Source organism: Homo sapiens, chromosome 8 (assembly GCF_000001405.40).
Source record: "Homo sapiens chromosome 8, GRCh38.p14 Primary Assembly".
In the NCBI taxonomy this organism is placed as follows: domain Eukaryota; kingdom Metazoa; phylum Chordata; class Mammalia; order Primates; family Hominidae; genus Homo; species Homo sapiens.
In genome coordinates, this window is record NC_000008.11 from 132,696,505 (window position 1) to 132,720,480 (window position 23,976).

Below are 23,976 nucleotides of genomic sequence, written 5' to 3' on the forward strand. Positions count from 1 at the left end.
AGCCAAAATGTCCATCAATTGGTGAATGGATAAACAAATGTGATATATTTACACAGTAGAATACTATTCTACTATAAAAAGTAATGAAGTAGAGATTCATGTTGCAGCATGGGTATGCCTTGAAAACATTATGCCACATGAAATCAGTGACAAGATTGGGTAAAGAAAATGTGGTGCATATACACCATGGAATACTATGCAGCCATAAAAAAGAATGAGATCATGTATTTTGCAAGAACTTGAATGGAGCTGGAGGCCATTATTCTTAGCAAATGAATGCAGAAACAGAACACCAAATAACACATGTTCTCACTGATAAGTGGGAACTAAATGATGAGAACGCATGGACCCAATGAGGGGAACAGCAGACACTGAGGCCACTTGAGGGTAGAGGGTGGGAGGAGGGAGAGGAGCAGAAAAAATAACTGTTGGGTACTAGGCTTAGTACCTGGACACAAAATAATCTGTACAACAAAGCCCCATGACATGACATGAGTTTACCTATGTAACAAACCTGCACATGTACCCCTGAGCCTAAAATAAAAGTTAAAAAAGTTAAAAACACAAAGACCGCATATTGCATGATTCCATTTACATGAAATGTCCAGAATAGGCAATTTTATAGACTGTTAGTAGATTAGTGGTTAGTAGCCTGGGGCTGAAGGATGGGAATGACAAGTGACTGCAAATGGCAGAGGGATCTTTTTGGGGGTGATATAAGTTTTCTAAAGTTGGACTGCAGTGATGCCTGCATAACTGTAAAACTAAAAATCATTAAATTGTATACTTGAAACAACTGAATGTTACCTTGTATAAATCATAACTCAATAAAGCAGTTTTTAAAAAATATCCAAAATAATCCCAGCACTTTGGGAGGCCGAGGTGGGCAGATCACTTGAGGTCAGGAGTTTGAGACCAGCCTAGCCAAGATGGCAAAACCCCATCTCTACTAAAATTACAAAAATTAGCTGGGTGTGGTGGCATGCACCTGTAATCCCCGCTGCTTGGGAGGCTGAGGAAGGAGAATCACTTGAACTTGGGAGGAAGAGGTTGCAGTGAGCTGAGATTTTGCCACTGCACCCCAGCCTGGGAGACAGAGCGAGACCCCATCTCAAAAAGAAAAAAAAAAAATCCAAAAATAAAAATAAAGAAACTGATGGGCCAGAGTATGAGAGGAGACATCAATGTGTATGTGGAGCTCACCAAGAATGACTGGAATCGTACTAGAGAGATTGACAATGAGAGAGATGCTAAAGTCTTCAAGAAATGAGGAGTTAGTATTTGCACGTAGAAGCAGCAGCAGATAGTGCAGTCTGGTGTCATGAGCTTCAAAACTGGAGGTTTTAGGGGAGAAGAGGGGATAATCATCCAGTAGGTGCAATGAGAAGCAAGGAGGACCTCAATCTTACTTCTAGGGCCAGTGATACAATAAGAATGGGACAGAAAATATTAATAAAATGTATGTATTTATAACTTGTCTTTAATTATCACAACACCCCTGTGAGATAGGCAGGGAAGCACAAGTGGAAAACATCCTGGACTTGGAGGCAGACCTCACCTTGACTCCTCCAGTGGTTGACAATTGACCTCAAGCAAGTGACTCACCCTCTTGGACCCTCACCTGTAAAATGGGAACTATAATTCCTATCAACCTCGCAGCACAACATAAGGCAGAGTGTTCTGAGCATGAGACTAGAGTAAGTATGCACAAACCTATCCCACACTTCGTAATAGACCATGGAAAGCTCTTATCCTCATATACTCTTCATTTGTGCTAACGAGAAACCTGAATTTCAGAGAGGTTAGATGATTTTCCCAAAACCACACAGCACTACAAGAGAACATAGATCTTCTGACCCCTCCCAGCCAGCTGCCACCCCTTGCAAAGCTGCTTCTCAGGGGCAACTCTCTTCCAGGGTTTCTATGCTGACTCTGAAACATAAATAATAGACAAGCATTCAGTTCCCTTTGGTACTGTGAAATCATCACACCAGAGAATTTCTAAAGCTAAATTACAATGTGCCTGGTATAAAGAGGGCATCTTGAATAATCTGGGCACAGTCAATATTTCCACCACATGCCATGCCACCTGAAGCTCTCTTTCTCTGCACCAGACACAATATATTCCTTGCCAGTTCACTAATGGGTCATATCCAGCCATCCACTCCTTAAGCAATTACTTATTTCTGGAGCTTCTGTTCTGGTGAAAAAAATAGGGCAGAACAGAGAGGAACCAAGAACCAAACCAAACCAACAAAAATCACACACCACAAATGAATAAGAATGATAATTTCTGACTGGGCACGATGGTGCACACCTGTAATCCCAGCACTTGGGAGGCCGAGGCGGGCTGATCACCTGAAGTCAGGAGTTCAAGGCCAGCCTGGTGAACATGGCGAACGCTGTTTCTACTTAAAATATATATATGTATACATATATATATATATATATACACACACACACACACAAAAAAAATTAGCCGGGCGCCATGGCAGATGCCTGTAATCTCAGCTATTTGGGAAGCTGAGGCAGAAGAATTGCTTGAGTCCAGGAGGCAGAAGTTACAGTGAGCTGAGATCACACCACTGCACTCCAGCCTGGGCAACAGAGTGAAACTCCGTCTCAAAAAGAAAAAAAAAAAAGAATGATAATTTCTGATAATGAGATAGTTGTGTGACCAGGGGTGGCGTGCCTGAATAGGGAGAACATCCCTAAGATGCTAGGGACATCTTCTCTGTGGGGGAGGTATTTGCATGATGAGAGGAAGTTGGCCCTGAGAAGTTCAGAAAGAAGAATGTTTCTGCCTGAGTGTCCTACAAGTGCCAAAGCCTTCAGGTAGAGCTGAGCTTGGTGATGTTATAAGAACAGAAAGGGGAGCAGTGCTAGGCGCTGTGATGTACTAAGCAAGAGGAAATGTAAGGTGGGATTGAGGGTAATTAACAAGGAAGCCAAGTGGCCTGATGTCAGCTTTAGAGAGATCACTGTAATTGCTGTGTGGAGACTGCAGCCTGGAAGAGTGAAAAGAGGGAAGGCCAGGTAGAAAACTTTCTCTGCCCTGGAATAAGTTGCTCCCTTTCCTTCAAATATCCTTTCCCATTTTCCTTACCTGCCAAACTCACTCACTCACTCTTTTTTTTTCAAGAGCACTTCACAACCATTTACAATAGCCCCAAAAGTGGTAATAACCCAAACATCCACCAGTGGATGAATGAATAAACAAAATGTGTTATATCCAAACAGTGGACTATTATTCAGCCATGGAAAGGAAAGAAGTGCTAATACATGCTAAGATGTGAGTCGGATAAACATACAAACATTATGTTAAGTGAAACAAACCAAATGCAATAGGTCACATATCATATGATTCCAGTTATATGAAATAGACAAAATAAATCCATAGACAGAAGACTAGTGGCTGCCAGGGGCCAGGGAAGGGCAGAATGGAGAGTGACTGCTTAATGAGCACAGGATTTTCTCTTCAGGTTACAAAAATGTCTTGGAACTTGATAGATTGTGTTCTGGAACCACAGTGTTGTGGTTCACAACACTGCAACTGTACTAAATGACGCTGAATTGTATACCTTGAAGTGGTAAATGTTATGCCATATGAATTTCACCTCAATTAAACTTCTTAAAGGCAAAAAGAGCATATTAGATATATATTATTTTCTTTTTTGTAGCAAGCAAGATAAATGTGTTCTGACTAACTTAAAAGGAGAGATTGTTGGGAAAGGCAGTGAGGTTCCTCAGAGACTCCTTGACAGACCCAGTCAACCAGGTTTTGGGAGAAGCCAGCAGGAATGAGTGCAGCCCTCAATCCCCTGGACTTGGTCATGGCCTTCCTCTCATCACCAGCTGGCTCTGGGAGAAAAAGAGTCTGATTGAGAGCTGGGTGCAGCAGTTCATGTTAATGAATAACATGTGTAATCCCAACGTTTTGGGAGGCTGAAGTGGTACCATTACTTGTGGCCAGGAGTTGAAGACCAGCCTGGGGAAAAAAGTAAGACCCCCACCTCTACAAAAAAAAAAAAAAATTAGCCAGATGCAGTGGTGTATACCTGTAGTCCCAGCTACTTGGGAGGCTGAGGCAGGAGGATTGCTTGAGCCCAAGGGTTCTAGGCTGCAATGAACTGTGATTGTGCCTCTGCACTTGCACTCCAGCCTAGGTGACAGAGGGAGATCCTGTCTGTAAAAAAAGAAATAGAAACAGAATCTGATTGCCCAAGCTTGTGTCTTATACATCCATCGTCCCCAAGGTTTGGGGTCTGGGTTTGAGATCAGTAGCCTTACCAAAATGTATGGACTGAGGAGGAGTGATTGCCCAAAGAAAAGGGTGTTATAGGAATCAGAATAGAAAACGAAGTGATAGAGTGTCTTCCTCATTTTTATGCTGCCATGACAGAATACCACATACTTGATAATTTAAAATGAACAGAAATTTATCGGCTCACAGTTCTGAAATGTGAGAAGTTCAAGATCGAGGGGTTGGTATCTTGCAAGAACTTTCTTGCTGTGGTATCCATGGGGGAAGATGGAAGGGCAAGAATGAACAAGAGGGGGCTTGCTCTTTTATAATGGCACCAACCTTGTCTATGAAGAGGGAGCCCTCATGGCCTAATCACCTTTTTTAAGGGTCCCACCTCTTAGCACTGTTACAATGGCAATTACATTTTAACATGAGTTTTGGAGGGGATAAACATTCAAAACATAGCACTGGGATACAGAACAGGACAACAAATGTTCACTACAAATACCACCCGGCTCATATATTCTTTCAATAGCAGCAGTCTGATCAACAGTTACTGAGTGCCTCCCCAGAGGCACTGGGAATAGAGTAATGACCACAGAGGAAATGATCTTTTCCCTCCTGGAGCTTGTAGTCATGAGGAAAGATGGACACTGGACTTAGACCAGTGTGCTGAGCACTGTGCAGTGAAGTACAGAGGATGCCTGGGAAGCTTTTCTGTCTGCCTTTCTGTTATTCAGGCAGAGGTGGGAAGGGCTACCTGGAGTTGTCTACATCTTGACTGTGAGCTCCTGAGCTGCATGGACCCCAGAACTAACAAAGGCCTGAGAGTTGAAACAAAAAATAAGGGAGGAAGAAAAGGAAGGTGGGAAGACACACCGAATGCACTAGATTTTAGTTTATGTCCTGCTTCCCTTTGGATAAAGTGTCTTTAAAACTAACTTATTGTGTGGCCATCTTGCCCCCAGGTTGGGGATGGGAAGTGGGATGACACTGGTGCAGTGTGACAGCTGATGGCACTTCCCTTACAATAAATCATAGCAGGGGGTTGAGCCTGTCATCTGGTAGAGCCCTCTGCTTCCACCAGAGCAATGGCCACATGATTGACCCCAGATGGTGGCAGCTCCTAGGCCCAAAGTCCCCCTCTCTAGGTGGCCTGCTTTCATATCTCATCAACCTTGCAGCCAAGATAATTTTCTTGGATAAACATCAAGATGTTGGCCTTGGCTATTCTTGAGTTGAGGGATGATGTGTAATTTCTTCTCTTTTGCTTATTTGAATTCTTTCCTTCCTATTTAAATAAAATGATGGTGAGTCACTTTCAAAATAAAGAAAATTGAATTAAAGAAGTTATTTTTAAAGCCAATCTTTTCTCATGCCACTATATAAGCTTACTTTCTCTTATTTGGTCTTCTCTATGACAATAAAGCCATACGATCACTCCACACTGCAGCAAGCACTTCAGAGACGGCCACAAGTCATGAAATTAGGTCTGTTTTATAAATGAGCAAAGTGAGGGTCAATGAAGTTGACTAATAGGTCCAATATCACAAAGCTAGAAATGGTGGAACTGCCAGAGTCTGTGTCTGTGTCTAAGTCTACATATATGTCTATCTGACCTCAAAATCTGTATTTTTGCCTTTATACCATTCTAACTTGTGTTAAATATTGGAAGAAGTATTTATTCAGCTAGATTAACACGGCCGCAGCTAAGCCTCAGCCCACAGTTAGTCTCTCCTTTCTATCATCTCACCTAATAACTGAAAAATTTCCGTTGTCCCAGAGGTCATAAATACTACTACTACTGTCACCACTACTATTATTATACAATAATAATGATAATAATAATAATTGCAGCTCCCACTTCAGAAAAGCTTATGATCTAGCACTGTTTTAAGTGTTAAGCATTTTGCCTGCATGAACTTGTTTAATCTCATAAAAGTTAGACGAATTAGGTAATATTTTAGTCTCATTTTAAAGACTGGGAAATTAAAGCTTAGAAACGTGAAATCGCTTGTCCAAAGTGAAAGCAGTTAAGTAGCTGGATCACAGTCTAGTCCCAGGTCTCCTCTGACTCCAGAGCTGAAGTATCATGCTATACTGCGATGCTACTCTTCGAAGGACACAGCAAGAGAGGAAACAAGGAAGATTAGGAAGGCGGAAGGCTCTAGAATGTGTTTCTTGACCTTTTCTTTTACTGAAAAAGAGAAAAGAAAATGAGAATAAAATGGAACTGCCGGCAGTGAATTTCAGCTGTCTCCCCCACAGCAGATCCCTTGCAGCCTGAAGATGAGCTTCACCCACACAAAGGTATGTTGTTTCAATTTGGCCTGGGCTGGAGGAGGGACTACCTTCCCTCTCTACAATGCAAATGCAAAATTTCATTTTGCATTGAAAGTACAAGTCCTGATTCACCAGCCTTTGTTTTACCCTTTGCATCTTATTTTCTTTTTTAAAAAGTTTCCTTTAAGGCTACAAAAGGATAAGAAAATTTTTGCAAAATGTTTCCAGCTTTTAGCATCCACCTGCTAAATTGCCCTCCACTCCCAAGTTACCCTGTCTGGCTCTCTAGCAGGTGTAGCTTGCAGCTGTAGCAGATTTTACCCTGCATGGGACAGATGGAGGGGATACAGCCTGCACAGTAGGGTAGATTTTTTTTTTGAAATACATGATCAGATCTTCATCAAAGCCTGGTAGGCAAATGTGGCATTGATGCAAAGTATGCCAAGTTGGCAGGTGTCTGTGTCTGCTGCATTGTGTTTGCAGTAGTGGGATTCCTTTTGGGGGTGGTGGTTGGCCTCTCCTGCGGCACAAGCAGATCATTTTGCATCTGAGTTGTTTTGAAGTAACTACCGTAGATACCTGCTTGGAGGAGCATTGCAGTGAGGGTGTTGGGGAGGGGGTGGAGGTGAGTGGCACAGGCGCCTTAGAGACCTGCAGTGTATGACTCAGGGTGAGCAATACATCCTCCTTGAAGTTTGCCTTCCTCACTTTTAAATGAGAGTGGGTGGCAGAGCTGCTAAAGCTCGTCAAAGTACACGGATCGTGTACTTCCCTGCTTTCTCCACCACCTTGCATAAGTGGGTCATATGACCAATCCTATAAACGAAGGGACACTTCCCAGTCAGAGAAAATTAAGACAGAATACGCCAGGCAAGCTTGGAGGCCATACAGCATGGTTACAAGATGAAGGACGGCTGGCTGATCCCATCAGAGATGATGTGGGTTTACATACTGTGGAAGCTGACCAAACCAAGGGTAGTCCTCAGCAGGATGGTGGCGATGATTACAGACAAAGAAGATAAATCACCTGGCATATAGTAGATGCGCCAAAACAAAACAGCAACTCTTTTTATGAGCTCTGTAGCTACATCAGCCTCTATGAACAGAGGCTCTAAAGCAGACCGGACAATGTTAGATAATTCCTCTCTTTATATTGCATCTCATTCATGCCAATTCTCCAAGAAACTAGATTTGAGAACCCTGAGATACAAGAAAAAAGGTGAAGGTCATCATTGTCTTTGAAAGATGACTCTTTTCATTTAATGTTTCACCTCATGGAAAACTTTCTCCTGAGTTAGCATTTCTGGCGAGAATGACTCACACAGCCTTTGATCACCAAGGCACCATGCCCCTCTCATGTGACCTTCTCAGCGGCAATCAGTAGTAGGGGAAGTAAGGGCTGTGGGTCAGATAGGCTTGGCTTTGAAATCTAGATCTCCCACTTACTTATCATCTTCGGAAACCCTTAGGAAAGTTATTCAACCTGTCTAACGTTATTAAATGTATAAAATGGCAATAATCATATCTGCTATATTAGACAGGGTTGTCCAGAGATACAGAAACAATAGGATATATGATATATTATAAACATATATATTACATATGTCACATATATTATACATAATCACATATATTATATGTCCCATTGGTTATGTGATGAATTATAAATATACATTTTTTGTATATTATATGTAATACATGTATATCTATATTACACATCCTATTGGTTCCGTTTCTCTGGAGAACCTTAACTAATACAGTATATATACACTATATATATATGGAAAGAGAGAGAGAGATTTTAAGTAATTGGCTTACACAGTCGTAGTGAGCTGACAAGTCCAGAATCCATACGGCAAGATGGCAGTCTGGAAATTCAGGTGAGAGATAATGTTACTGTCTTGACTCTACAGGCTGGAAACTCAGGCAGAATGTTTATATTGCAATTTGGAGGCAGACTTCCTTCTTTAGTAAACATCCATCTTTGCTCTTAAGGCTTTCAATGTGTTGAATGAGGCCCACCCACATTATGGAGGATAATCTGCTTTATTTAATGTCAACTGATTGCAAACATTAATCACATCCACAAAATACCTTCACAGGAACATCTAGACCAGTTTTTGACCAAGCAACTTTTCATCATGATATATCCAAGTTGACACATAAAATTAACCATCACACCTGCCTAGCTAAAGTGGTTGTTATGAGATTTAATAGAACATGCAACGTGAACTTGTCAGGGGCAGGATCAGGCACAGAATAAAAGTTCCCCAGTGATCGTATTTCCTATTACTGTTAACTTATTGCCACTGTAATCATTTCTTTTATTTTCTTCTCCTCACTACCTGTTTCTGATACTTTGGTTCTCCCTTCATGTCTCATCCCTCTCTGCTCTCAAAAAGAGAAGACAATACCATAATTCCCATTAACCCAAAGGAAGAATTCATCTAAATTACCAGAGAATCTGACCTTGTAAATGTTTTCAAAGAAATGCATTTTTTGGCTCTAGAGTATATTTGACACTTGTAATTACATGCTTAGCTGGTTCCCAGTCTGCTATGACATCTGCTCCTTGAGAGTAGAATTGTATTTCCTTCACTTAAAAAATCCTTGGTTCCTAAGAAGTGCCAGGTAATTATCAGGTGATCAATTATAATAATGATTGATTGGATTGATTGAACTCATGGATGAATGAGCTAGAACAACTACAAACCATTTATACTTTTTAGAGCAGCAAAATAATATCTCTAGTAAAAGGCGTTAAAAGACCTGTAAGTCAAAACAGTGATGTTCAATTCAGAAGTATTGAATCTCTAAAATTTATTAGGCATACATTTTTGGTAACTGAGTATTATGTACTGAATGTTTTTGTCCCTATAAGATTCATATGTTGAAGCTCTAATCCCCAATGTTATGGTATTTGGAGGTGGGGACTTTGGAAAATGATCTGGTTATGATAATGGGTCCTCCATGAATGGGGTTTGTTCTCTTATAAAAAGAGGAGGAGACACTGGATCTTTCTTTCCAACATGTGAAGCTGAAACAAGAAGACAGCCATCTGCAAACCAGGAAGTGAGCCCTCACCAGACACCAAATCAGCTGGCACCTCAATCTTGAACTTTGCAGCCTTTAGAATTCTGAAAAAAAATACATGTTTGTTGGGTAAGACACTGAATCTACAGTATTTTCTTATAGCAGTCTGAGCTATGACAGTGGGTGAGTGGAAATCCTCTACAGTCCTTTAGCATCTTCCATCAGTATTGGCCCCATGGTCTTACCCTTCTTGTTTCATGCAATGCCCTGTTTCCCCTATTAGAGAGCAAGTTTGTTGAGGGCAGGCACCATATTTTAAAACATCTGTACCTGACTCAGTTCTTACAGGTAGTAGGCTCTCAAAAAATAAATGGTGGTTAAATTTTTAAAGTTGAGTTATTATCTATATATCTCCCATACTTTAATTTACTTTCTCAATCTTTTTAGCATCTTGATGAGGTACAAAGTATATAGAGTTTGGAAGTTGGAGGGTGTGCCTTTTGGGAAATTTTATATATTAAACATGGTTCCTTCATATATATAAATGCTGATTATACATAGCATCCTGGCCACCTTTAAAAGATATTAAGAAATAAACTTTTTGTTTTGAAAATTAGCAAATACAGGAAAAGACTCAAGCATTCATCTCTCCTTTCCTATAAAATCTGAACCACTGGGCAATCAGACGGTAGATGTTTCCTTGCACAGATATATTCCCAATAAAGAAGATGTGATCAAACTGGAATATCATCCTTTTCAATCTCTAATTAATTAGATATCTAACCACTGATCAGAAATGGCTGCTGACAACACAAAATGACATAATGTCACTCTTGACAAAGAATATGACACCACCTAGGAAGTAATTGTTCCCCACAAAATTCAAAACAAAAAACGATTAAGCCTCTGTAATCAACTTTCAGTTGGCAAGAAATACAGAAGACTAAGGAAGACATTAAACTTTACCACAGACATGCGATCAGCAAAATTCCAATGGAGTAAAGTCTACAAGACAAATGATGCAGTTTTCAAAGAAACAAATTTCAAAGGTCAGGGAGGAAGAACTTATGCATTCAAAGAGACCCAATAGGCATATTAAACAAACAAATAAAACCAGGCAGAGCTATACTATAGTATTTAGAAACGTAATTGGTAATAAAAACTATAAAGCAAGATGCAGAGGTGATTATCATAAACTCAGCCATAGTGGTTATTCTGAAGGTGAGGATGTTGGAAGGGGCAGCTGGAGGGCTCCTGATACAGCTAGCAAGATTTCGTCTCTTTTTATTCTTCGGTTCTTAAAAGGGCATGCTATGGTTTGAATGTGACCTGAAAATTTCATATGTTGGAAACTTAATCCCCAGTGCAACAGTGTTGAGACATGGGACCTTAAAGAGGGGATTAGGTCATGAGGGCTCAGCCCTCATGAATGAATTAATGTTATTATTGTGAGAATAGATTAGTTATCTCGGGAGTAGGTTCCTGATAGACAGATGAGTTTGGCCCCTTTCCTCCCTTTGGCCTTCTCTCATCTTCTCACCTTCAGCCATGAGATGATGCAGCAAGAAGGCTCTTGCCAGATGCCAGCACCTTGATACTGGGTTTCACAGCTGCCAGAACTGTGAGAAATATGTTTCTTTTTAAAAATAAAGTACACAGTCTGTGATATTCTGGTACAGCAACACAAAACAGACTAAAACAAGGCATTTGCCTTATAATAATTTTTACACTATTTTCTGTTTTTCTCGTATTTGAACAATACAAGTTTTTAAAAACAGCTGTTCTGCCTATTTCACAGAATGAATGGTGCCTACATAAACATGACATTTAATAAGTACAGGAACCTCGTCTGTATTCTTCACCGTCATACTCCCAGGGGCTAGACTGGCTCTTGGCACATGGTTGGACTAAATATATATTTACTGAATGTATTAATAAATGAAACTATAAAATCAAATATATACATGAAATCATATTATGATGATGACTATTAAATTCAGCAAAGTTACAAATTCCCAAGGAGTGCATTCCAGATCACTGAGAATCTTTTGTGTACAGCAGACGTGGTTCTTTATAACAATATTGCCCGCTGCTAGACTACAATAACAAATAGGACCTGAAGAGGATTGAGGCTGGCCATTGGCAGAGAGCTGACATCCAGTGATGTACAAGTCTTCCTGGCAGCACACACATCACTAGTCAGGTCCTGTGCACCTCTGTCACAGATGGATCTGCAGGATATTAAGGTTATACTCTCCACTCCAAGTAGTGGGGCTCAAGAGCAACCATCTGGCTGGAGCCCACTGCTAGGGGACATGTCCTAAAGTCATTTTGCACAGCAACACACTTTATACACTTGGAGGAGAATCAGTGGATGTTGTGTTCATTATCTATCACCATGTAATGACATTAGCACAAGCTTAGCAGCTTAGAACACACATTAATCTCAGTTTCTGCAGAGGTCTTTAACTGCGTCCTCTGCAAGGTTGTAAAGAAGGTGTTGTCCTGCACCGGCCTCTCATCTGAAGCTTTCACTGGGGAAGGCCTTAGCCATTGGGTCCTGGAAGATATCTGCATTCCAGAACTCTGGAACCTATGACTAGATTACCTTATGTGGCAAAAGGACTTTGTAAATGGGATGAAGTTAAGGATTTTAAAATGGAAAGATTATTCTGGATTATCTGGGTGGGCCCCATGTAATTACAAAAATTATTTAAAGAAGGAGGCAAGATGTCTAAAGTCAGAAAAGGAGATGTGACCACAGAAGCAGAGGCTAGAGTGAAGTGGTTTGAAGATGGAGGAGGGGGCCAGGGGCCAGGGAATGCAAGCAGTCTCTAGGTTTTACCCTTGTAAGGCTCATTTTGGACTGACCCCCAAAACTGTAAGATAATAAATTTGCATTGTTTTAAGCCACCAAATCTGTGGTAACTTGTTACTGTAGCCATAGTAAGCTTATACAGCCGGGGAGAAAATGTCCTTGTCAACAATGAAGCATTATATGCACGTAAACAGTTAGTACTATTTCAGTATCTTACTTTGAAAAACATTATCATTTAAATCAAATGACTCTGTAGAAAAATGTGTGTTACACATAGACAAAGGAAATGTAGAAATTCTCAATGGAAGTTCTCCTAATAGTGTATTAAATGAAAGGCTCCATATGCATTTAGTTCTCCATTAAATTCATTTTAAATCCCACTTCAAAGCATTCATGCACGTGGATTGTGGATCACTTTGTGATCACTTAACCTACTTGTAAAAATGGCAAAGGCATGGGACATATCCCAGACCTACTAAATTATTACACGAGGCTATTTCAAATACAACTGTGGTAAGCTTACTAATGGTCCCCCAAAATAGCCAGGTTCTAATCATAGGAACCCATCAATGTTACCTTATATGAAAATAGGGGCCTTGAAGGTGTCATTAAGTCAAAGATTTTATCTTGGATTATCAGAGTGGATCCTAAATGTAGTCTCAAGTGTCCTTTAAAGAGGGAGGTAGAGGGAGATTTTACTGCAGAAGAGGAGAAGGTGATGTAATGATGGAAGTAAGAAATCAGAGTGGTGTGCTTTGGAGGTGGAGGAGGGGGCCACAAGCCAAGGAATACAGACAGCCACTGGAAGCTAAAAAAGGCAAGGAAATAGATTTTTCCCTAAAGCCTCCAGAGGGAAAATAACTCTGCTGACCTTTATTTTAGACTTCTGAGCTCCAGAACTGTAAAACAATAACTTTGTGTTGCCGTAAGCCACTTGGTTTAGGGTAATTTGTTAAGGCAGCAATAGGGAAATAATACAGTCTTCAATGAATGATGTTCTGCCATGATTTCTCAAAAAAATATATATATACATATATATATACACACACACAAATATAAATTTGCTGATGACTTCACTTATTTATTAGTTTATTTTTTAACCAAAAATGTACTAAATGCAAATTATATATAAAGTTATATTTTGGCATTATCATTTCGAGCAAAGACAATTTTCTGCATGTATGAGTTTTTACTCAGAGAGTATCACATAGAACAAATTTGAATTACAGGCCATATTTGCTTTGTGAACACGCACCAAGTGTGGGGGGTGGAAAGGGAACATCTACAGCCCTTGAGTCAAGGCTCAAGGGTACAACTGCACCATTTTCATGCATTTGAAAGCGCATTGGTGTTTTGCCTATATTTTGCCCTCAAGGCATTTTTCTGTGTTATATCTTTAAGTGACATTAAAGTGAAAGGTAATTACGAGCCCCAAGAAGATTAAAAACTTGGTTTAGAACGTGGTTCAAAAGAATATAACTTTCAGAAAATGCTTCTTTCCTGTCCATTTTCATATTAACCATCATCTACGGTTACCACCTAATATCAAGTCACTCCACTGAGGTGAATGACAAACTTTTGCAGCATTATATTTTATGTACAAATTGCATTTATTGTTATTCAAGTTGTCAGGTTGGTATTAGTTAGACAAACTTGCTCTCATTATTCTATTAAAGCAATTCAGCAAGAGATAGGTGCATGTGGCAGACCCAGAAATCTGGTTACAAGCTCCTCACAGAATTTCCTAATGAAAATTCAAGCTCGAGAACCACTGCCTTAAAGAATCATAGGGGGACATTTATTCCAGGCGGTCTCTTTTCCATCACATTCCCCGTCCTTTTCCTTTCAACTGCCGGTGTTTGCAAAGGGAAGGCAAATTAATATTATTTTCATGAGCATATTATAATTTTGATGGAAAAACTGAGATCATTTTAAAATCACATAGTCAAACTAAAATGGCTTTTTCTCCATTACTCGCTTACTCCCTTCCAATAAAACACTTGATTCCAAGTAGACTGCAAGTTGGACAATTTCCAGATATTCAGATGGAGGACATTCATCGAAGGCATTCCTAAATGGTTGTCAAATTTTGACAAACCTAGATTGGAGAAATAAGAAAAGAAATGCATAATTCATCCCCATGCACAGGAAATGCAGTATCTAATCACTGCATACCCATTTGCGCATATATAAGCACACACCCACACCCATACCCACAACGGGCCTGAATTATCACAACTAGGAAGAGTGCAGCCTCAACTAAGGGTACTTTTCGTTTTTGCTTTTATCCCAGCAGTTCTTAGTGCTCTCCTTTTTGTCTGAAAGACTATAGAGGTTTTGACCCCTCAGCCCAGCGTGGTACTTAGTTAACTAATATTTCCTATGGTTTCCTCTTCCCACCTGCCCTTATGGCATTTTTCTGTATTATATCAGTATTTTAATTGCACTTTAAGTGAAAGGTAATCATGATCCTCAAGAAGATTAAAAACTTGGTAAAGAAAATGGCTCAAAAGAATACACCTTCCAGAAAATTGCTCTCTCCTGCCCCGTAGAACAGCCTGTAGGGTAACAGGTGGATTTTCCCCATATTTTTATTCCCTAAAGTTTATTCACTCATTCATTAAGTATACGAACATACATTCCTTCATTTAAGAGAGAACAGATGTGACCCATTTTGTTACTATGAAATCATAAGTGTGCAAAACGTGTACCGCTGATGCTAACACATCATTACTAACATGAGATACCTGTGCTGACCTTCATTTGCAAGGGACACTCAGGCCAGTGGTGGACAAGACAGATAGTCCCTATCTTCACAGGCTTTAAATTTAATCAGGAAAGCAGTTGACTAAGAATTTCATTATGTTATGAAAAGGGATATGATGTGAGCCGTGTGAGGTGCTAAAGAGGCACCTAATCTAATCTAACTTGCACAGTGCAGGATGGGTGTGTGTGTTGGGGGGAGGGTGCTGCATTAATATTTGTTGAACTGAATTCAGTTCCTTAGATTCTCATCATTGATTGTTAGAGGAGACTTATGAGTCATTCTTGATTCTCGATATTAATAACCATATCTTTGGTTTATTAGTTTCTCGGTATGTTTATATAAGAAGGAGAGGGTTGCAAAATCTTTAATATACACGCAGAGCTCTTGGCTTTCAAGGAAGTACTTCAAGAAATGATGCAGTAAATACATTAAATTTAATGAATATGTACAGAGTACATACTATTTTCAAGGCTTTGGTTGTAGATACAAAAATGAAGTCAATAGTCCTTGTTTTCACAGGTCTTAAATGCAAATGTGTGTGTATATGAGGCTGGTGGGCAGGAAACAGGAAAAAATGGAGTTGGGAACAAGAGAAGAACAAGTCAAAGTATGTACACAAATAATCAAAGAAAGGATCTCCTTCCATAAATGAGTCAGAAGATAAAAGTGTTTGTTCAGGATAGAAATATTGTCCTGATGTAATTTCTTTTGGGAGAGAACAAACAATGAGCTCAGAACAATGGGAAGTTCTGAGAAAACAGCAGGTGATATAACCCCTGCAGATCGGATATTGGCTCTTCCAGGAGGCCCTCCCTGAACATACTCCCCACTCCTCTTAGTCTGGGAAACTGACCTCCTTGTGCTCCCCCTGGCTCCTGTACTAACCTGATATTTGCACTTACCATATTAAAAGGCAACTTCACCTTGCCCCTTACAAGTCCTTTACTCTAATGAGATGATAAAATCTCAAAGCCAGCCACATGCTGGGGCATTCACACCCTGGTACCTAGTGACTGTGTCTAACCCATGGTAGACACTTCATTAACAGCAACTGAGCTAAACTTGGTACCCCATACCGTATAGAACATATTGTAAATTCTTAATAAAGATTTGGTAACTTAGGTGGTGCCACTTTAGAAATCAATAATTGTTTTAAACAAATGTCATTAACTCCTTTTTCTTTTTTCTTTTTTCTTTTTCTTTTTGTTTTTAAGACAAATTCTCTCTCTGTAGCCCAGGCTGAAGTGCAGTGGCATGGGCACAATCACAGCTCACTGCAGCCTCCACCTCCCAGGCTCAAGCAATTCCTCCATCTTAGTCTCCCCAGTAGCTGCAACTGCAGGTGCGCATCAGCACACCCAGCTAATTTTGTCTATTTTTCGTAGGTCTCACTATGTTGCTCAGGCTGGTCTAGAACTCCTGGACTCAAGGAAGTCTCCTGCCTCAGCTTCCCAAAGTGCTGAGATTACAGGTGTGAGCCACCACACCCAGCCTTGTCATTAATTTCAAGGGCTAAATTATAAGGATTTCTTGAGCTACCCAGAGATTCGATTTTCTAAATATCAGGTTGAATAAAACTTAGCTGTATGTGCACCCCCAGAAACCAGAAATACCCAGAAATTATGGGAAGCATCACTCAAAATGTCAGTAAGTCAATATTGGCTAGAATCCTAACCAAAATAAATTTTCACTAAACCCCATTGTGATTTCAGAATTAGCGCAGATTTTGTAAGAGTGCCATGGTGAATTACAGACCTCAGTCTCCAAGCCATGTGAGTTTGCCTCTGGCAGCCATATTGAAGTGAAGGTAATTAACACAGTCCATCGTGCAATAGGATGGTGCTATCCAGACTGTTTGAAATTCTATGGGCATCCCAACCAGACCCCAGTAACCCTTTGAAATATGCTGAACCATGGCAGTTAACACACAAGGGGATCATTAAATGAATAAGAGAAGGCACAGAAATCACAGTTTGTAACTGAGATCATTTCATGGGCAGTTTGCCAGCTATTTGGGAACGTCTAACACAAAGGTTTCTTCAGATGAGGTATTTATAAAGTGTAGTGCTATGAATCTACAAAATCACTTTAAAAATTATTTTAAATGACATCGCCTTTCAAATTATTTTCTAAGTCCTGTGCTTAACAATTATTTTGATGTAAAAATTTAGGAGGCAGGATGATAATACTATTAAATTTTAGCAGTAACAGAAAGTAGTCTTCAGGACGAATGATCAGGATGTTTCCTGTCATTGCCATCTACTATGCAGCAGAAACCATTCTCAGATATCAAATTATGATCACCTTGGTCCAGACAATAATGATGACACAGGCAACACTTACCGAGCACAGGCAGTGGTTTTGAAATAGCTGGCAAGGCTGAGAAACAATGATTTCACATCTTGAGTGAAACAGAGAAAATATTTTAAAATCATTTTAAAGTGACCAAAATTGGAATGAAATACAGGCATCATTGCAGTAATCTGGGAAACAGTTACTTACAAGCTACAGTTATCATCAATGAGCATGTGAAGACACTGGCTAATATTTCTCCCATAAACCATCTGAAACAACAAGATTGCTCTGATTTAGCATACTAATTGTGCATTTCCAACCTGTGTGATTTTTTTAGACTTACTATAGAATTATGATTTCAAGGTTTACTATGAAACTACAGTAATAAAGACAGTGGTATTGGAAAATGGACAGACATACAGATCAATGAAAGAGAGTAGACAGCCCAGAAGTAGACTTATGCAGATAGAGTAAACTGATTTTAATTGAGGCGCAGAAGCATTCAAAGGAGAACATACCGTCTTTTCAACCAATGGTGTTGAAACAATTGGATATTTACATGCAAAAAAATGAACCTCCACATGTATAACATACCTTACACAAAATTTAACTCAAAATGGGTCATAGACCAAAAATGTAGATCGTAAAACTGTAAAACTTCTAGAAGAAAACATGGGGGAATATCAATATGACCTTGCATTTGGCAATGAGTTTTAAAATGCAATACCAAATGCACAATCCATGAAAGAAGAGAAAGGAATAATTGGACTTTATCAAAATGTAAAACTTCTGCACTGTGAAAGACACTGCTAAGAGAATGAAAAGACAAGGCGCAGTCTGTGAGAAAATATTTGCAAATTATGTATCTAATCAAGGACTTCTATCCATAATATATAAAGAACTCTCAAAATTCAATAATAAGAAAATAAGCAACCCACTTGAAAAAATGAGCAAAAGATCTGAACAGACACTTCACCAAAGAATATATACAAATGTCAATAAGTATAAAAACAGATGTTCAACATCATTCCTCATTACAGTAATGCAAATTAAAACAGCGAGATATCACTGCATACCTAGTAGAATGGCTAAAACCCAAACAACTGGCAATACAAAATGCTGGGAGGATGCAGAGCAACAGAAACTCTCATTCATTGCAGTTAAGAATGAAAAGAGTGCAGCAGGGCGCGGTGCTCATGCCTGTAATCCCAGCACTTTGGGAGGCCGAGGCGGGCGGATCACGAGGTCAGGAGATTGAGACCGTCCTGGCTAACACGGTGAAACCCTGTCTCCACTAAAAATGCAAAAAAAAAAATAGCCGGGCGTGGTGGCGGGCGCCTGTAGTCCCAGCTACTTGGAAGGCTGAGGCAGGAGAATGGCGTGAACCCGGGAGGCGGAGCTTGCAGTGAGCCGAGGTCACGCCACTGCACTCCAGCCTGGGCGACAGAGCAAGACTCCGTCTCAAAAAAAAAAAAAAAAAAAAAAAAAAGAATGAAAAGTGTGCAAACAGTTGGAAGATAGTTTGGCCCTTGCTTACAAAGTTAAACATAGACTTACCATATAACCCAACAGCTTCACTTGCTTACAAATTTAAACTTAGACTTACCATATAACCCAACAGTTGCACCCCTTGGTATTAATTCAACTGAGGTGAATTCTGTGTCTGTACAAAAATCTGCATATGATTCTTTGTAGAAGCTTTATTCAAAGTGGTCAAAAACTGGAAGCAACCAAGACACCCTTCAATAGGTGAATGTATAAACAAACTGTGGTACATCCATACAATGGAATATGATTCAGCAACAAAAAGGAATGAGCTAATTGTAGAATAGCACATTTGTTATTGCTGTGGGTTAGTATATTTTCTTAGAGGAGGTGAATAGTTTTCTGTATTAATCATATACAAGCAAAATATTCCGTGAGAGAAATAATTTGTTCTGACAAAACAAGAAATTAAGGGAAGACAGAAATGGTGGGAAAAACTGAAGTCCCATAAGCGATGGCAGCAGCAGCCCATCTGGAGTGGCTGCTGCAAAGACGCCAGCTGCAGCAGGGGAGGCCTGGCCAGGGTTGTGGGCTTCGCAGAGCCCGAGGGAGCCGAGAACAGGAGGGAGCCCGGAACTGGAGGGGGCCCCGCCCTCCCAGGTGCAGCTGCAGCCGCTCAGCCATGGCTCTGAACCCAGGCATCCCTGCACTCTTGGGGGCCTTGGAAGCCCCCCTGTGCCTGCAGGCTTGGAAGCGCCTGCTCCTGCCCCTGGCCTCTCCCTGCTCCTGTTGCCCGCTCTGATTTCGGAGCAAAGTTGTGGCTAGGCCCGGGTGCTATCGCAACCTAGCAGTGACCAGACCCCACATTTGTTTGCTCACACGCCCCTCACCACTCCACACCTTGCTTGTAAAGGCTCAATATATTTCTGAATCAGAGTCATGGCAGTGAAGAGATGGAGATCTAGATCACCCACACTGTATATTCCATAGCATATTTTGTCTGTAAAAAAGCTACTCAGACCAGTCAGACCTAACACCCCCTTTCAAAAACAAGCATTTCATTTAATAACAGTGATGCCTCTTTTTATCCTGTAATAAATTTCATAAGTAATATAACCCATCTACATAAGTAATCTAGAGATGATTTAAACTATATGGGAGGATATACATACGGTATATGCAAATACTACATCATCTTATATAAGGGGCTTTAGTATTCAAGGATTTTGGTATCTGAGGGAAGCTCTAGAATCAAACCCCCTTCGGTATTGAGGGACAACTGTATTCAATGCTTGTACTTTATAGTTATGAATAATTTATAACTTGAAAGATATAAATTATCCTCTCTCTCTCTGTCTCTCTGTCTTTCCCACCCCATCTCTAACTTTATTACTACATCTATCTCTATGGCACTTCACAACTGCACATTGTTCTGTGGTGTGAATTTATTTATTCAGTCCTCCATTTATGACATTTGGGTTGTTTCTATTTTTGCTATTACCAAAATGATGTGCAAGGGACCCAAAATAGCTAAAACAATCTTGAGGAAGGAAAACAAAGTTGGAAGGCTCATGCTTTTCCACTTCAAAACTTACTACACTATACGCAAAAGAATGAAGTTGAAGCATTACTTTATGCCATATACAAAGGTTAACTCAAAATGAATTAAAAACCTAAATGTAAGAGCTAAAACTATAAAACACAACAAAAGATGGGTGAGAAACTTCATGACATTGGATTTGGCAATGATTTATTGAATGTGACACCAAAAGCACAGACCACAAAAAAAGAAAAAAAGTAGAGAAGTTGGGCTACATCAAAATTTAAAACTTCTGCACATAAAGAATACATTCGACAGAGTGAAAAGGCAAACCACAGAATAGGAAAAACATTTGCAAATCACATATCTGAGAAGGGGTTAATATGCAGAATATATAAAGAATTATTTTAACTTAACAACAAAAAGCAAACAGCCTGGTTTAAAAAGTGTCAGAGTACTTGAATAGACATTTCTGTAAAACAGATACACAAACAAACATCCAATAAGTGCATGGAAAGATGGTCAACATCATTATCCATCAGGGAAATGCAAATCAAAACCACAGTGAGATATCACACCACACCCACCAGGATGGCTCTAGTCAAAAAGACAGACAATAACAAATGTTGAGGATGAGGAAAATTTGGATTCCTCATACATTGCTGGTGGGGGTGGGAGTGTAAGATGGTGCAGTCCTATTGGAAAACGTTTCAGCAGTTTCTAAAAATATTAAATATGGACTTACTATATGCCCAGAAACTCCATTCCTAGATATTTAACCAAGAAAAATGAAACTGTATGTCCATACAAAACTTGTGCACCAGTGTTCATAGCAACATTATTCATAATGGTCAAATGGGGAAAAACTCAAATGCCCATCAACTGACGAATGGATAAACAAAATGCAGTATATCTATGCAATGGAATATTATTCTTCCATAGAAAAGGATGAAGTACTGATACATGCTACAACATGGATGAACTCTGAAAACATTATGCTACATAAGTCATACCAGACACAGAAGTCCACATATTGTATAACTCTATAGGAAATGTCCAGAATAGACAAATTCACAGAGACAGAAAGTACATTAGTGGTTTTCAGGAGGTGGAAGAGGAAGGAAAGGAGAGTAACTGCTAATGGGTAGAGGGTTTCTTTTTTCAGTGATGCAATTGTTATAGAATTAGAGTGGTGATGGTTGCACAATTTTGTAAATATACTAAAACCACTAAAGGTGCACTTAAAAATAATTTTTAAAATCTGTTTAAAAATACAATGAATAGCATTTTTTAAAATGCAATGAATAGCATTTTACATATGTCATTTCACACAATAAATTATTTGAAAAGGCCTGGCCAGGTCAAAGGAGATATGTAACTTTAAACTTGGTCGACATTATGGAATCTCCCTACCTGGGGATTTTCTCTTTTTTTTTTTTTTTTTGAGACAGAGTCTCGCTCTGTTGCCCAGCCTGGAGTGCAGTGGCACAATCTCGGCTCACTGCAAGATCCACCTCCCGGGTTCACACCATTCTCCTGCCTCAGCCTCCCGAGTAGCTGGGACTACAGGTGCCCACCACCACGCCTGGCTAATTTTTTATATTTTTAGTAGAAACGGGGTTTCACCGTGTTAGCCAGGATGGCCTCCATCTCCTGACTTCGTGATCCATCTGCCGCAACCTCCCAAAGTGCTGGGACTACAGGCGTGAGCCACCGTGCCCAGCCCCCCTACCTGGGGATTTTAAGAATAAATTGTTAAAAATTTCACAGCAATGATGGAGCATGTCTGCTATTTCACAACCTTGTCAAAAAAGTGTGACCAAGCATTTGAATTTTTGCCAATATGATGGGTGATGATGTCACTGAGTAGATTTATTTCAAAAAAGAATAGTATTTTTATTGTTTTTATTTTCAAAATGTGAATCATTTGAAAGAGATTACGAATAAATACAAAAAGGAAAAGAAAATATCATCAGAAAAATCCCACCATATGGAAGAAGTTATTAATAAAATCTGGTGAATATCCTTTGGAAATCTCTTTATATGCATTTTAAAACTGTTATTCTAAAATGAGCTCTAACATAAATACAGCAAAGCCTATAAAGTGTACAACTTGATTTTGATTTTTTGTATAAACACCTGTAATTGCTACCCAGATCAAGATATAGAATATTTCCCGCGCCCTTTAAGGTTCCTTGGTTGTCCTTTTCAGTATATACCCTCGGAATTAATCACTATTCTTACATCTATAATAATTGATTTGTCTTGCCTTTTCTTGAATTTTATATACACAGGTTGAGCATCTCTAAATAAAAAATTCAAAATCTGAAATGCCCCAAGTTTGAAACTTTTTGAGTGTCTACATGATGCCACAAGTGGAAACTTCCACACCTGACTTCATGCCACAGGTGCAGAAAATTCCCTAAAATATTGTGTAAAGTTACCTTTAGGCTGTGTGTATATGAAACATAAAGGAATTTTGTTTAGATTTGATTCTCATCCTCAAGATGTCTCATCATGTATATGCAAATTTTCCCAAATGTACAAAAAGTCCAAAATCCAAAATACTTCTGGTTCCAAGCATTCTGTATGAGGCATACTCAACCTGTATGTGCAAACATATCAACTTTCCTGTCTGTCACCTATCACTTACTATGAGAAACATCCATGCTCTTGCCCACGTCTATACAGTTTTAGTCAATTTTTAATTCAAATAAACATTATTAGAATAATTTTAGATATGCAGAGAAATCAGAAAATTAGGACAGAGGGTTCTCATGTGGTCTCCAGTCAGCTTCCTCTATTATTATTACTGTGGTATGTTTGTCACAATGAAGGAACATGGTAATGTACCAACACTGGTACATTACTATGATCTCAACTCTACACTTCATTTGGATTTTTCCTTTTTCTATTCCAGGATCCCATCCAGGTCACCACATATGTTTAGTCATTGCGTCTGCTAGGCTCCTCTGGGCTCTGAGAGTTTGTCACTTTCCCTGGTTTTGATGACCTTGACAGTTTTGGAAAGTCCTGCTCAGATAATGTGTTGAATGTCCCTTAATTTTTTTTTTCTGCTATTTTTCTTTTGGCAGACTGGGATGTGGAAGACCACAGAGGTAAAGTGCCATTCTCACCACGTCGTATCAAGGGGACATGCAATCAGTGTAACTTATCTCTGTTGATGCTGACTTGTTCACTTGCAGCAGTGTTTGTCCTGTTTCTCCACTGAAGAGTTACCTTTCTTACCCCCTTCCTTACTCTACTCCCTGGAAGAAGTTTCTAAATGCAGCCCTCCCTTAAAGGATTAAGAGTTAAGCTCCGCCTCTTAAGGGAGGAGTATCCACAAACATTAACCTAAGAAACATACCATTTACAGTCCTGTGAAAGAAAAGAAAGGGCTCTGCGATCAACTTGGAGGTGCGGAAAACACGAAGTGAAATAAAGCTAGACGTGTTCCTTCACCACATTATTTCACTGATTATTATACTAATGCACATCATGGTCTT

At 39.6% G+C, this 23,976-nt stretch overlaps 2 protein-coding genes across 19 annotated transcripts in view; both read right to left on the reverse strand.

Moving 5' to 3' along the window:
• Positions 1-6,409, reverse strand: part of DNAAF11 (dynein axonemal assembly factor 11) — a 132,498-nt gene extending 126,089 nt beyond the window's left edge. Inside the window, exon 1 of one of the 5 annotated variants that reach the window (XR_007060728.1) lies at positions 5,642-6,403. The gene's annotated coding sequence lies outside the window, so the exon portion shown is untranslated. Of the gene's footprint in view, positions 1-5,641 lie in introns of all 5 variants that reach the window. The other 4 variants (XM_011516950.3, XM_006716538.4, XM_047421658.1 and 1 more) reach the window with 4 other exon arrangements.
• The window catches only part of TMEM71 (transmembrane protein 71), a 70,161-nt gene continuing 55,519 nt past the window's right edge, over positions 9,335-23,976 (reverse strand). For 12 of the 14 annotated variants that reach the window (NM_001382397.1, XM_047421363.1, NM_144649.3 and 9 more), the window contains 3 exons: positions 17,650-17,711; positions 17,491-17,548; positions 13,437-14,478 (listed from right to left, as the gene is read on the reverse strand). In NM_001382397.1, the coding sequence (NP_001369326.1) occupies positions 14,463-14,478; positions 17,491-17,548; positions 17,650-17,711 (136 nt within the window). In that variant the 3' untranslated portion in view covers positions 13,437-14,462. Of the gene's footprint in view, positions 9,667-13,436; positions 14,479-17,490; positions 17,549-17,649; positions 17,712-23,976 lie in introns of those variants that run through there. The other 2 variants (NM_001382396.1, NM_001382398.1) reach the window with 2 other exon arrangements.